Below are 14,540 nucleotides of genomic sequence, written 5' to 3'. Positions count from 1 at the left end.
AGTCCAAAGCAAATACCTCACTGGAAGATATCGAAGGTAAATTTCCCGTGGTCCCCAGAATAAGACCTACTCATTTCAACAGTATTAAAAAGTCTATCATAAACTTGCCTTAGCTAAATATTCACCTCATTCCCAACCTCTCTTATCTCACACTAGTTGTACTAGCAAAAGTGAACTGCTCATAAACCCTACAAAGTTCGCTTAAGCATCTTGTCTTTTGCACTTGCTGCTCTTCCTCCCAACAGGCAATCTCATTACATGTTCCTTCTGCCAAACATCATTCTTCTACTTCTTTACGTAGAAAAATTCTACTCACTCTGCATGCTTACCTTAAATCCTACCTACTTTTTTTTAAAGCTTTCATTCCTCATCACGTATGTCTGGCACATAATCAATATAATATACAATAAATCATAATTATAAACTTCCAGTGGGCATCTAGCACACAGTAAGCACTGAATAAGGTAGGAACATAATAAAAATGACAATGATAATGACAAACTCCTGTCTGTATTTTTAATTGTTTCTGTTCTCTAGCATTAGAAAAATGCTTAGTACCTAAAAGACATTTTATAGTTATTTGTTAAGTGGACAAGTGAAAACATAAAAATATTTTCTTTGTAAATTCTGTTGAAAAGGCAGAGAAATGAAATAGAGGCAGCTGTATTCTATTATGAGCACCTTAAAGATCAGAACTACATCTATTCCATCTTTGTCTCTTGCAATGTACACAATCTAACTTACAGAAGCTCTTTGATAAACATAGGGCTAAATTAAAGATGTCCTTATAGAGTCTGGATTGTACGATGCGTTAGGTGTCCACATCCAGGTAGCATACTAGCATTTTTCTTACTGTGAAACATTTTTGTACTTTTATTATAATCTGCTGAGCCTAGAATTGGGCAATTTGTGTATTTATTATGACAATCTTTTGGCGACTGGCAGCAAAGCATCTTGTTCTAACAAAATTACTGTTTATCATGACAATTAACCAGCAGGTAGAAGAATACATCTTGTTCCAACAAAGTAAATCTATCTCTTTCAATTTCAAATTAGGAGGAATGAAGTCAGTAATAGTGAGACTTTGTTGGTACAAGCATATGAAACATAACCTGTGCTTCGCTCTTCTTTTGTGATCAAAACTTCCTTACTTTTACCTTTTTATCTGTGATAGGACCACCCAGATCAAGCATCCACAACTCCCAGGCCATGGACTGGTACCAGTCCATGGCTTGTTAGGAACCATGCCACAGAGTAGAAGGTGAGAAGCAAGCAAGCCAGGGAAGCTTCATCTCTATTTACAGCCACACCCCATGACTCATATTACTGCCTGCTCTCCACCTCCTGTCAGATCAGTGGTTGCATTAGATACTCATTGGAGCATGAACCCTGTTGTGAACTGCCCATGTGAGGGATCTAGGTTGTGTGCTTCTTATCAGAATGTAATGCCTGATGATCTGTCACTGTCTCCCTTTGCCCCCAGATGGGACATCTAGTTGCAGGAAAACAAGCTCAGAGTTTCCACTGATTCTACATTATGGTAAGTTGTATAATTATTTCATTATATATTATAAGGTAATAATAATATAAATAAAGTAGCATAATAAATGTAATGTGCTTGAATAATTCTGAAACCATCCACACCTTCACCTAGTCCATGCAAAAATTGTCTTCCACAAAACTGGTCCCTGCTGCCAAGAAGGCGAAAAGGTTGGGGACAACTGACCTAAAGTAATTCACTATCAGAAGTCTTACCTGGATTGCTATTTCCAGAAGAGTTGTTTGGCATCTGGTTTTCTTTGTAGTCAGAAAGTAATTGGCAAATTCTATGTATAAAAATGTAATAAATAAAATTACTATTTTAATACTGATATAAAAATGCTTACCAAATGCAAAAATTCTTTGAGTATTTCAAACAGTATCAGAATATCAGAACTTAACAATATTATCCCATACAGTTCTGTGTACATTCTACAAACCTCTCATTAAGCTTCTAATTAAAGAAGAAAAAAGTAAGGTGAAATACTCATAAATCAAGGGCATTATGACTCAATAAACTAACTTGCATTAGCTTGACACAATAGAAAGTGTCCCAACTCTGCATAAGGCCTAGCTCCATAATGAACAGCTGATCCATACCTATGCCTAAGTGCTCAACTTGTTCTTGGACAAGTTACTTCTCTTAGGCTCAATGTCTTCTTCTACAAAGTGAGGACTTTGCTGCTTTATTTCACTAGGTTGTTATTTCTACAAAGTGGGGACTTTGCTGCCTTATTTCACTAGGTTGTTATTTCACTAGGTTGTTACAAAGACTTAACAATATAACATTTTCTAAATGCTCAGAAAAATAGTAAAGCAATGAAATAATCTATTCCTAAACTTTATACTGAAATTATCTCAGAATCCCAAATAAAACCCAATGTATATTTTGTTCATAGGCCCTAATATGCAAATGTTGTAATTTTCAGGAAATGTTAAGTCCTAATTTTCCTTATTAGTTGTCCTACTCTTTATGGCTTATAATTCAAGGAATCTCAACTATTTCATAGTTTGTAACTAAATTTATTCATAAATATCTCATTAAAGTAGAAAACATGATTGCCCACTATTACGGAGTTTACCAATCACAACAAGGGCAGAAAATCCACTGGATGTCAACACCTGGCTTGGACCAATGATCCTTCTCTACAGACTCAAACTCTAAACCAGCAGATGTTTGTTAGGATGATGCTTCATCTCCCTGCTCATCTCCAGCTGACATGGGAGACTAAAACCCTACTTTTTTTTTTTTTTTTTTAGGTTCCATGAAGAAGTTGTAAGTTGACCTTCTTGAATTTTCAAGTCACATGCTGGCAATATATTTTTCACACAACACCCCACACATTATTCAGCTCTGGGGTCATCTCTTAGACCACCTTACATGAATATTTTTGTAGCAAAAAATCACAATTTCAATATTTAGGTGGCACCCATTTTGCTTTGATTCACACCATTTCCTTGGAGCTAGTCAGAAAATAGTCAAATGACCTTCCAGTGACTGCACAAAACTTGGAATCCTTCAAAAATTGGTTCAGCCTCCTTATGCAGGCACCATGCTAATTTTCTTTGTATTGTTCCAATTTTAGGATATGTGCTGCCTAAGCAAGCACAAAGCTCTACTTTTACACATGGACAGTGATGAGTCATTGACAAGGTTTGGCTCTAAGTCCAACTAACCTACTTGAGATCCTGAGAAATCTCTTCAATATCTTCCAGTGAGGTAGAATTTGAAAATATTTTTAAATCTTGAGGAAGAGATGCAAGTAGCTTGGGAGATTCTCATTATTATGGAAAATGGATCATTCAAGGGGTCAACTATAACTGGGTGCTCACTGCTCTGGGGAAGGTTAATATGGGACTTTCTACTGCCTAAGGTACTATACACAATATAAATGTGCCTCAGGGTACAGATATGGTAGCAAAGAAGAATAAACAAACACTGACCTCTTTCTGCCACATTATTTGAACCTCTCTGACAGTTTAGAACAAGCCCAGCTAATATCTGCTAGAGAAAAGACCAACATGGGACTCAAAGGATCTCTTACCATGACAGTCTCAGTTAAGTGTAGGATAACATGTGGGTTCCACATCAGGTTTTGAATGTGGGTGGAAGGGTCAATTTGCTCACTTTGTGTGTGGATAAAGCCAGGATGCTAAGCTGCCAGAGCAGGGTGCTGGTGCTTTGGGAACAATGGCTGAACACATAGGCATAGGTATGTGAATGTAAAAAATTTTATAACTTTGAAGTCCATGTATGGATCACCATGAAGACTTGAGGGATTTGAATCAGTAAGCGCATCTTGATGTCAAAGGCCAACCATTACCAGGCAGCAGGACCAGTTTCAGTGGCAACGATGCAGCAACAGAATCAACAGAAACAAAAGAATGATTAAAATGTCCTTTTTTTCTCCTCCTTATGACTTGAAAAAAAGGACTGTCTTCCTTGGACTTAGTGAATCCCTTTGGTTCTCAAAAAATTCAGGGAGTATATAGGAGACAGTCCCCAGAAGACAGTACAAGACTTTCTCCTAAACTGAACATTTCAAGACCCAAATAACTAACTAGAAAAATTAAAGATATGGCACTATTTTTTATCCCATGCATAGGTGTTATACATGGAATGAAATGAACAATGTTGGAATCTCTAAGGATAAAGGTCTTAAAAGTCCCGAGATAAAGAATCCTGCACCCATTGGTACTTCTAACTAGTCTAGTTTTTTGTTTCATTTCTAGCTGATGCAGTGGACTAAATCATAGCCACTCTAAAACTACCTGAATCAATCTATCACATCTCACCTGATATATAAGATGCAATCATTATAATTATTTTAAACCTCAATGTAGTTTTAACTAGACTTTTAATGTAAACACTTACATACTATGATGACTAGAAACTGCATAATCTTCAGCAGTTTGTCCAAATACATCTTGAGAAAATACATCAATATTTTGCTGAAGTAGAAGACTAACTATACTTGCTGATCCACAACGTACAGCAAGTATGAGGGCAGTTCTAAAATAATATAGAGATAATTTCTCCCTTAGGAACTTCAAGTGATTTTAAAAGCTAATTCAATATACTTTGCCAATTTAATATCTTGCCCGTCCATGCAGAATTAAACATTTACATGTACTAAAAGACATAAGCATCTTGGGTGCTCAAGGGTTCATCTTTATAAAGTACCATCAAGGTTAAAAGGAAGGGACAAAAAGGAAACCTCTTATCTCAGTGGGGTATTGCATAGTAGCAGCTACTAATTTAAAGGCCTTTGATGGGCAAGAAACTATGCTAGGGCTGCTTATCTGAAGTAGACAAAGATTTAAGTGAAGTTTTCTTCCCAGGTCCCTAGACTGATACACTGTAATAGAAAATCAGCTAGGGATCAGATAAATAAGAGCTATCTGCATGCTGAAAGCAGTAATAACAAATGGTAAGAATAGTGGTCATAGTGGTTTCAGTTAATGAATACCAATAAGCATGTGCTAGGCCCTGAATTAAATGCTATAAAAAGATATATATAAAGATATATATATATATATATCTTTCTTACTATGCACAGCTAACTTTGAAGGATATATTCTCCTCCTTTTCATACATGACAACATATTTGGTGGTAAATAACATTCACAATGTCACACACCTAGCAAGTAAGAAAGCTAGGAATTAAACCCAGTCTTGTGTGACTCTAAAGCCTAGCTCTTTTCTCTTTATCACCCACCTATGGCTTGCCTTCATGAAAGGAAAAGTGTATCCACTTAAGACTATCTTCGCTCCCTCTCTCCATACTAATTAAAAATAAAAACATCAAAATACACTGGAAATAAAAAGGGAAAAATCTGATGAACCCACAGTATGTGGGAATAGCAATTGATTGTCAAGTAGGGATAAGCTAACATTAATATTCTTTAAAGAAAGCAACTTAAAGCAGAGTTATTCAAAAGACAAAATGATTTGCAACTCCTATTTATGTTTAATATAGCATATTTAGTGGAAAACCATATAAGAAGCAGAGGTTAAAAACTACTAGAAAGGGTTAAGAAGTTCAAGACTGAGTCATAACTGAAAGTTAAAGTTCACACTTTCTAAAACTAATATGAAATCCCTTTAGCTAACATAAGAACATACAACCAATAACATCACATAACAAATAACATCAGTCAAAATAATAAAATGAGTCCTACTAAAACTGTTCTTTATGTTGCCCAGTCTAAATAACTGTTTTTTTCTACTTAACTGATTTGTGTTGCTACTGATAACTATGTCCCAATAAGTATAAGTTAGTATTATTAATTTAATATTTATGACTTGAGTGACTGCTATCAATCTAGAACAACACAGAGATTAAAAGAAATAACTATACCTTCCAAACCTATCAAGTGCATTTAAATTAGCTTTTTTCTTGATTAAAAATTTCACCATTCGCTGTTTTTGTCCATGTACAGCAAGCAAAAGTGGTGTGAGGCCACCCTGTAAAACAATAGAAACCAAAAATAATATGTAACTGAAAAAATTATATATTTCTCAACTGAATTGGAAACTTTATATAAAGATCCTATGGACTTATACTCATAGAAAGTAAATAAAATGTAGTTGTTTCCTTCTCACTCTTCCGTGCTTTCCCACACACTGCTCTTCCCTTGGAAACACCCCTCCTCTGCCTCACCACATTAACCCTGGTCATCTTGAAAACTCACTTTAAACATTTACTGGTTTCAAGAATCTTTGACTCTATCCCAGCATTTGTGACATGGTATTATTGGATGATAATAATTTTTCCTATCTAAACAAAAATCTTCTTGAGGGCAGGGTCTGTATCTTTTATCCCTATATCCTCAAACCCTGTGACAAATTGTTGTGTATAAAGCAAGAATTTGCATGTAAAATATTTCTTCAGTTTCAGATGTTTTACCCAAAAAATCAAGCTCCAATGTGCAGTAAAAAATTGCTATTAAGGCTCATACTGCCCATTTCAAGAATTTTTCCCATATTTATTCATTTGAAATCTATTTATATTTAATTTTCCTGATTGTTAACTAAATAATCAGTTCATAGGACTGCTGAAACTAAATTAACAGAATTCCCATGTGTATTCTTAATAACTGCATGGTTTTTAGTGTTTAATACTACCATCCTGATTATGCCAAAGTTCTACAAACTTAAGAGACATACTGGATAGTCCATAATATGGCTTTAATTGACAAAAATGGTTTGGAATTTGCTACAATTTTAATTGAGAAAACTCTGCTCTTAGTAATGACTTACTGACTTAAGCACTTGAATAACAAAGAGACACAAAATCCTGAGAGGGCCAGCCTCTACTTATTGAAAGAATACTCACTGCAAATTTCTAAAGACCTTCTGAATGGCAGTGAATAACTGATGGTAGGAAGGAAAAGGTATTATTCTGTAAGCTGATAGATACTACCAATAATATTCATTTTAATGTCCCAACCACAGAGAAGAAAGTCAGACTAGGCTAGGCATGGTGGCTCACAACTGTAATCCTAGCATTTTGGGACACTGAGGCAGCTGAATCGCTTGACCACAGGAATTCAAGACCAGCCTGGGAAACATGGCAAAAAACCCATCTCTACTAAAAAAATAAATAAATAAATAAAATACAAACTGGAGGTGGGAGGACCACCTGTACTTGGGGAGGTCAAGCCTGCAGTGAGCTGTGATTGCACCACTGTGCTCCAGCCTGGGAAACAATGTGAGACCCAGTCAGAAAGAAAGAAAGAAAGAAAGAAAGAAAGAAAGAAAGAAAGAAAGAAAGAAAGAAAGAAAGAAAGAAAGAAAGAGAGAAAGAGAAAGAGAGAGAGAAAGAAAAAAAGAAAGAAAGAAAGAAGAAAGAAAGAAGAAAGAAGAAAGAAAGAAAGAAAGAAAGAAAGAAAGAAAGAAAGAAAGAAAGAAAGAAAGAAAGAAAGAAAAAAAGAAAGAAAGAAGAAAGAAAGAAAGAAAGAAAGAGAAAGTCAAACTAATATTATTGGAAAGGAAAGATTTAAAGGAAATTGCGCATATCCAACTCCAACTCTTCTAGAGATGTCTTAAGTTTCTGAGATATGAGAATTTACATATTACACTTATCTATTCAGTGGTTCTTAAGCAGAAGTGTATCTGCATTTTAAGGAATTTGTTGTTGTTGTTGTTGTTGTTGTTGTTGCTGTCATTGTTGTTACAGACATGGTCTCATTATGTTGTCCAGGCTAGATTCAAACTCTTGAGCTCAATCAATCCTCCCACCTCAGCCTCTCTAGCAGCTGGGAGGAAGGCATCCATAACCAGCATGCCTGCCTTCAAGGAAACATTTTTAAATGGACATATCCAGGCTTTATTAGACTTACTGTATCAAAATCTTCAGGAGAGGGTCTAGGCTTGTAGATTATTTTAAAATGTTCCTCAAGTTACTGAGATGCACACTTCTAGTTGAAAACTAGTGCAACAGACAATTACTTCAGTCTCATCTCTCACCCACATGGCCAATTCCCTTTATCATTTGAGCTTTTGGCCAAAAAAAAGGAAAGAGTGAGAGACTCATTTGCTGAAAACACCACTTAATTTTCCTGGATGGGGTTAGAACAGGGCCTAGTAAACTCAAAATCCAACTTGATCTTATTACTTATAAGCTCTTTATCTCCCACCTTCCCATCAAGACATTCTAGATTTGAAAGCAGAGTTTAGACTCTATCTAAGTGGCCATTTCTACCAGAATAGGATAATAAGTCAAATAATTCCCTGATATTCCCTCTGCTCAAGGGTTTCCCATTACATACCACCTATTCACTGCCAATCTGCTTCCTCAGAGGGCTCCTAAAATTAATCTCTAGGCAGTTTACAACCCACTAACTCCCTCTCCCAAACTAAAAAACTGTCATTCTCTAAAACTGAAGAGAACCTTGTTTCACCACGCAAAGGAAAGAAATGAACAAACAACAAAAAAAAGCACACACACACAGAATCTCTTCATGGTCTTTTTCCTCCATTACCTAATTTCCAAATTGGCCTCGATATTTCTGATTGCTCTCCTTTTCATTTTCTATTTCTGCCTTATAAGGAATCAGAAATATCTTAAGCCTTGCCACTAAAAGATACATCGCTTCATATCTATTACTTTTTTTTTTTTAGGAACTTGCCAAAGCAGCAAGATTTCTATTCACTGAAACATGTTTTAGTTTTCTTGGAGTTTTAATGAAAAACTTGCTTCCAGGGCAAATTTTGTCATTTTACATTGATTAGGGAAAAGAAAACCTGGAAGGGAAAAATTGAAAAAAAATAAGTATTACCTTTTACAAATTCAGTGTTTTCAAAAAAATTTTACCACAAGTGCATAAAAAAAGCTGTACCTGCTGATGCCTCTTTAAAAGTAACAATATTTAAAATTAAATCTTAGATAATTAAGTCATTTCAAAATATTTTCATTCAGGTTATGCTTGAGCTTCCAAATATGGCAAACTGACCCTTACACAAGTCGATGTTAAAACAAATGTATTTCAGTATTTTGAAAATAAAATTGGTAGATCTGTACCTTGTTTTTTGATTCAATGTCAGCACCGTATAAAAGCAGTGTTTTGGCCATTAATTTATCTTCATTGTAGACTGCATAGTGTAGAGCAGTATTCCCATACATATCTGGAAGATTTGGATCAGTGCCATGTTGTAGCAACATTAACGCACATTCATCCTCCTGGCATTGTACGGCCTGTCAGTATTAGACCAAGAAATCAATTGTAAATCCTAGGAATTCAAAATAAACATTCCACAGATTTCACCAAGTTATATTTACATGAGAAAACTCATTTTTTTAATTATCTTAAATCTACCTCATGCTGATATAGTTGGCTACTGCATACCTTTATCAGAGCTGTCCTCTTTTTGCTGTCAAAGACATGAAGTTGACATTGTCTGTCCAGCAGAAGACTTACTACTTCTGAATTGCCATTGGCACAGGCCAAGTGTAGAGCAGTCCTAAGAGAGTGAGAGACTTTTTTAGGAAATTGTAATGCACTATCTAAAGCCATACCAATGACTCATGTAATTGCAAATGCTGAATAGCATGCTATCCCAGCCTTCAAAACAAATATTTAATATTCCTGTGAAGAAAGCACACTATTTATTACCTCTTATTCTCACTGTGTTAATGAAAGAGCAGAGTATCAGAACAGAAAGAGCGCAGCCCTTGGATTCCATTCAACTTGAGCTGGAAAACTGTTTTAAGCTCTGTCACTTCCTAGCTGTTGCTTAGTCTTTTTGTGTCTCAATTTCGTCATCAATAAAATGGGGATGCAAAAAATAGCTTTCTCACAGAAAACCACTATAATGCTTAAATGAGACTCTACACAAAATATGTAGAATAGTTCCTAACACAAATAACAGCTCAATAATTGTCAGATATTATAATTTGTATTAATACTACTACTTAATGAAGACTATTTGAAATAAGTGACATGATACAATTACACCTACACTTTGAGATATGTCTTAAAGATTACAGATAACATTGTATTTTATTGATTCTAAGATGTTCATTGTCTCCATGTTTTCACATTTCTTACACTGGAATACCGCTTATAATTCACAATTTACTATAATTGGCAGCATTTAAATAACTCTCTTCTTGTGACATAAAATAATGGGGCATCATAAAATCTATGGTGCCTTACATTAAGTAGAATATGGTATCTATAACAGGTCTGGGGCAGTTCTGGTCAGATGACTGACATTTAGATGAATTTTAGTTCTTAAAAGAACTACACATTAAGAGGGCTGAGGTGAAAACAAAAACAAATTTCTAAAATAAACTAATTCTTACTTTGGTGTTCAAAAATCTTTAAGCCAAAGAAAACATGGAATTCAAATGAATAGGTGTAGCTAATTTTTTTCAATACTTAGATTTGTAGAATGTATGTAAATCAGATATTTACAATCATTAATATTAGGATTTAAGATTGTTATAAATTTTATTTTTTAAAATGGATTTATGAAACTATTTGTGGAATTTTTTTTCAACTTTTATATTCAGGGGTACATCTGCAGGGTGTGCAGGTTTGTTACATAGGCAGACGTGTGCCAAGGGCATTAGTTGTACAGGTTATTTCATCACACAGGTATTAAGCCCAGTACCCATTAGTTTTATTTCCTGCTTCTTTCCTTCCTCCCATCCTCCACCCTCTGATAGGCCCCAGTGTGTGTTGCTCCCCTCTACGTGTCTGTGCATTCTTACCATTTAGCTCCCACCTGTAAGTGAGAACATGCAGTATTTGGTTTTCTATTCCTGGGTTAGTTTGCTAAGAATAATGGCCTGCAGCTCCATCCAAGTCACTGGCAAAGGACATGCTCTTGTTCTTTTTCTATGGCTGCATAATATTCCACGCTGTTTAAGTATCATGTTTTAGTTCTTAAAAGTCCTAAACTAGTCTTTACCCGTGACTGTTATAAATTTTCAAAAAGGCAGTTAAAGTTTACGTTTTATTATTTTCTACCTTCCGAAACGCTTTTTTCTGAAAGGAGAGAGGAAAAGCGTCAATTGAGATTAAGTCCTAATAGTCCAATTTTAAATCTCTCAGTTTGCTCAGGCCTGGCAGGGAAACATGAAATTTTCAAAGATAGAAGGATCCTAAGAGATAGTAGAATATGCCTGCCACATAATAGGTGTCTGGCTTATGTTTGATGAATAAATCGATTGAAAGAATTGATAAACACAGCTGAAGAATTCAATATTTTCAAAGAAAACTCCTGTATAGTACAGCAATACATTCACAATAGTAATAATCATTTATATTTGCTATTTTAATTTTCATATATAACTAAAATAATTAATCCATACTTCTTACACATGTTAATCTATATACAATGAAAAGATAATTATATAATAAAATATATACACAATAAAATCTACAGTAACAGGTAAACAGATTCCCTCTACTTCTGAAAAGAATGAAAGTTCACAGAAGAGGCCAGGCATGGTGGCTCACCCCTGTAATCTCAGCACTTTGGGAAGCCGAGGCAGGCAGATCAAGAGGTCAGTAGTTCGAGACCAGCCTGACCACCATGGTGAAACCCCATCTCTACTAAAAATACAAAAATTAGCATGGCGTAGTGGCACGTGCCTGTAATCCCAGCTACTCAGGAGGCTGAGGCAGGATAACCACTTGAACCCAGGAGGCAGAGGTTGCAGTGAGCCAAGATCGCACCACCCCACTCCAGCCTAGGTGACAGAGTGAGACTCCGTGTCGAAAAAAAAAAAAATTCACAGAAGATACGCATCCACAGAAAGAAAAATAAATACTAGAATGTGAGAAATTAGTTGTATTTATGCAAATAGCATACTCCTTCTCTTCCCAAGGATTATTTCATTACTAGTGAAACTTAACTAAAACTTTTCAGACGTTCATCGCAGAAATCGCAGATAAGATAAAGGGAAAAACTTCACTTACAATACAAATCCCCAGAAATAAGTTTTATCATATTTTTGACATATTTTCAGCTAACACAAGAGCAGATTCTGTTTGCGTATAACTGATTTTTTTCTCACTTGATATATACCTAAGTACATCTTTGCATGTCAACTTATCTCTGTATCTATTGACACCCTCAATGGTTACATATTATTCCATCATATGGATGGACTGAAATTTGTTCATAAAATCTTTACATGAGTTCTTCTCAATACACTGCTATTTAAGTAATACTAAGAAAAGCAGATGTATCTATTTCCAAAAGATATTTCAGTATAATGGAATTGATGGGTAAAAGGCATATACATTTTTAAAATGTGGTTCTTACCACCAAAATGTCTATTTGAAAACTCACAGCAACTTAAACCTTAAGAAGCTGTATAAGTACCACTGTTCTTCATCCTCACAAACTTTGTGGATAGAAACAGAATTTCATTCCTCTTCTAACTTAGATAGAAAAGAGTATTTCATTTCTCTTCTAATTTAAATTCCTTCTCTTATCAGGAACACTATGTTCTCCTATGTGCATAGGTCATTGGTAGACATGCAAAAAAGTACTTTGCCCAATTTTAAATTGAGCTTGTTTTATTTAGTTGTCTTCTTGTTGATTTGAAAGAATTCTCTGTAAAATGAAAATACATGTTTTGCAAGTGTTTTGTCCTTTGTTAATTTTTTTCTTATTTACAGGGTGTTTTAATTTTTATTTTGCCAAACCACCCTTCAGAATACTTGTTTTTGAGGTTCTTAGGTCTCTGTGAACATAAAATATATCTGCATATAAAAATAGACATTTGTGTTTCCTTCTGGCACTTTTCTTAATTTGTATATTTAAAATTTTTAATGTATACCCCAGGAACTTATTTTTGTGACATAAAAAATCTAGCTAGTTTTCTCCAAACAGCATGCATTTCATTTATGAATAATTCATCTTTTTATACTACTATGAAACATCACCACTATCAAGTTCTAAATTCATATATTTGGGTATTTCTGGATTTTGTATTCTGTTCTATTTATTTATGTCTTTTGAGCTGTTAGTAAACAATTTGTGGAAATAGCACATGAACATTTTGATATCTGGAAGAGCAAGTCTTTTTCCATTCTGTCACAAACATTTATCACAATAGTAAAAGACAGCATGTGTAATTTTAAAATGTTAAAACTTTACTATTTTTATTTGGCTTGGGTAAAAGTGATAAACACAAAAGAGCTCACATCTTAAGAAAAATAAATCTTCCTATTCAAGGACACGAACTATCTTCCCATTTCAGTTTCCTTCTAAGGTTCCTCAGTAAAGAACATATTTACATAGGGGTACATTGATATAAAATGCATATTGGATTTTATCTGAAGAATATTTAATCTCAGAATTTGATATATTATGGGACTTAGTTCTCATTATACTCCTTTCTATAATGTATATAACATTGTTTTAAAATGTGTACATTAAAAATAATCTGCTGCATCGACTTAATTTTGAGAGTTAAATCACTTTAAAACAGTCTCTTAAGTGTTCCATAAGGGAAATTATTATGGGATTGGAAATCAACTAAAGTTTTGTTTTTGTGTTGCTGCTCATAAAGAGGCCTGTGCCCCGAGCTCTCTGAAGTATCCACACACCGGGTGGCGTGGGACCTGAGGAGGCAAGAAAGCCAGGGCGCCCCCCACAAACACACACACACACACGAGGGCACGTCCAACCCCATCCCCCAAGGTCCCGCCTCCTCCCAGCCCCAGGCCCGGTTACCTCTTCTTCTTGTCCCTTTTGTTAATGCCAGGGCCCCTGAGCATGACGATGAGATCCGCTCTGGGGACTTCACCCCACCAGGCAGCTCTGTGGAGCTTGCCCAGATCTTCTCGACGGACGTGATACCTTGGCTCCGTGAAGGCGCTGTCGTCGTGGTCTCTCCAAGCACCCATGTTGTTCTTGCCGCTTCCCCTGCAGCAGGGGAAGCAGCAGCAGCACCACTTGCCCATCTTGCCCCTGAAGCCAAAGGGCTTCTTCATAGGGGAGGCAGCCAGCTTTGGAGAAACCTCAGCCACCATCTGCTTTCAACAGCCTGGTAGTAGCGAGCAGATGGTGTCTGTCAACGAGTTTCACCAAAAAGCGGGAAATTACGAGTTTCCAATCTGTTAGGGGAGAAAGGTCAATCCCAGCCAAAACCCCACCCTGGGAGAGCCCACGACCCCTCCCCCACCACCAACTGGGGAGATCCCACGTCCCCCCACCACCCGGGGAGAGCCCACGCCCCCTCCACCACCCAGGGAAAGTGCACGCCCCACCGGGGAAACACCCAGCCCAGCCAGGGGAATGCCAAGCCCAGCAAGAAAAGGTCAAGCCCAGCAAAGGAATGCCAGGGTAAAGCCAATCCAAACCAGGACCACCAAGCCAAGCGGGGGTGCCCAGCCAAGCCGTTACGTGGGCGTGCGCGTGCGGTGTGCGCACCGTGCGCACCTCGGGCGGCGTCACTGCACGTGACACAGACAGTGGCTGACGTTTGCAACCCGCGTGGGCAAGTCCTGGCGCCACAAATGTCAGTGACAGC

The 14,540-nt window shown here is 36.4% G+C and overlaps 1 protein-coding gene and 1 pseudogene across 4 annotated transcripts in view; both read right to left on the bottom strand.

Annotated features, from left to right (window-relative positions):
• Nucleotides 1–14,155, bottom strand: part of POTEA (POTE ankyrin domain family member A (gene/pseudogene)) — a 72,806-nt gene extending 58,651 nt beyond the window's left edge. For 2 of the 4 annotated variants that reach the window (XM_024447146.1, XM_047421756.1), the window contains exons 1-6: nucleotides 13,742–14,155; nucleotides 9,391–9,505; nucleotides 9,066–9,239; nucleotides 5,901–6,007; nucleotides 4,415–4,552; nucleotides 1,756–1,826 (exon numbers count right to left, since the gene is read on the bottom strand). In XM_024447146.1, coding sequence (XP_024302914.1) covers nucleotides 1,756–1,826; nucleotides 4,415–4,552; nucleotides 5,901–6,007; nucleotides 9,066–9,239; nucleotides 9,391–9,505; nucleotides 13,742–14,040 — 904 coding nt within the window. In that variant the 5' untranslated portion in view covers nucleotides 14,041–14,155. The remainder of the gene's footprint in view (nucleotides 1–1,755; nucleotides 1,827–4,414; nucleotides 4,553–5,900; nucleotides 6,008–9,065; nucleotides 9,240–9,390; nucleotides 9,506–13,741) is intronic. The other 2 variants (NM_001005365.2, NM_001002920.1) reach the window with 2 other exon arrangements.
• Nucleotides 3,043–3,149, bottom strand: RNU6-104P (RNA, U6 small nuclear 104, pseudogene; annotated as a pseudogene).
• Nucleotides 14,156–14,540: the final 385 nt, after the last annotated feature.

This window comes from Homo sapiens, chromosome 8, assembly GCF_000001405.40.
Source record: "Homo sapiens chromosome 8, GRCh38.p14 Primary Assembly".
NCBI classification, from domain to species: domain Eukaryota; kingdom Metazoa; phylum Chordata; class Mammalia; order Primates; family Hominidae; genus Homo; species Homo sapiens.
Note: the sequence above shows the minus strand (reverse complement) of the source record. Positions and strands in the feature narration are given on the sequence as shown.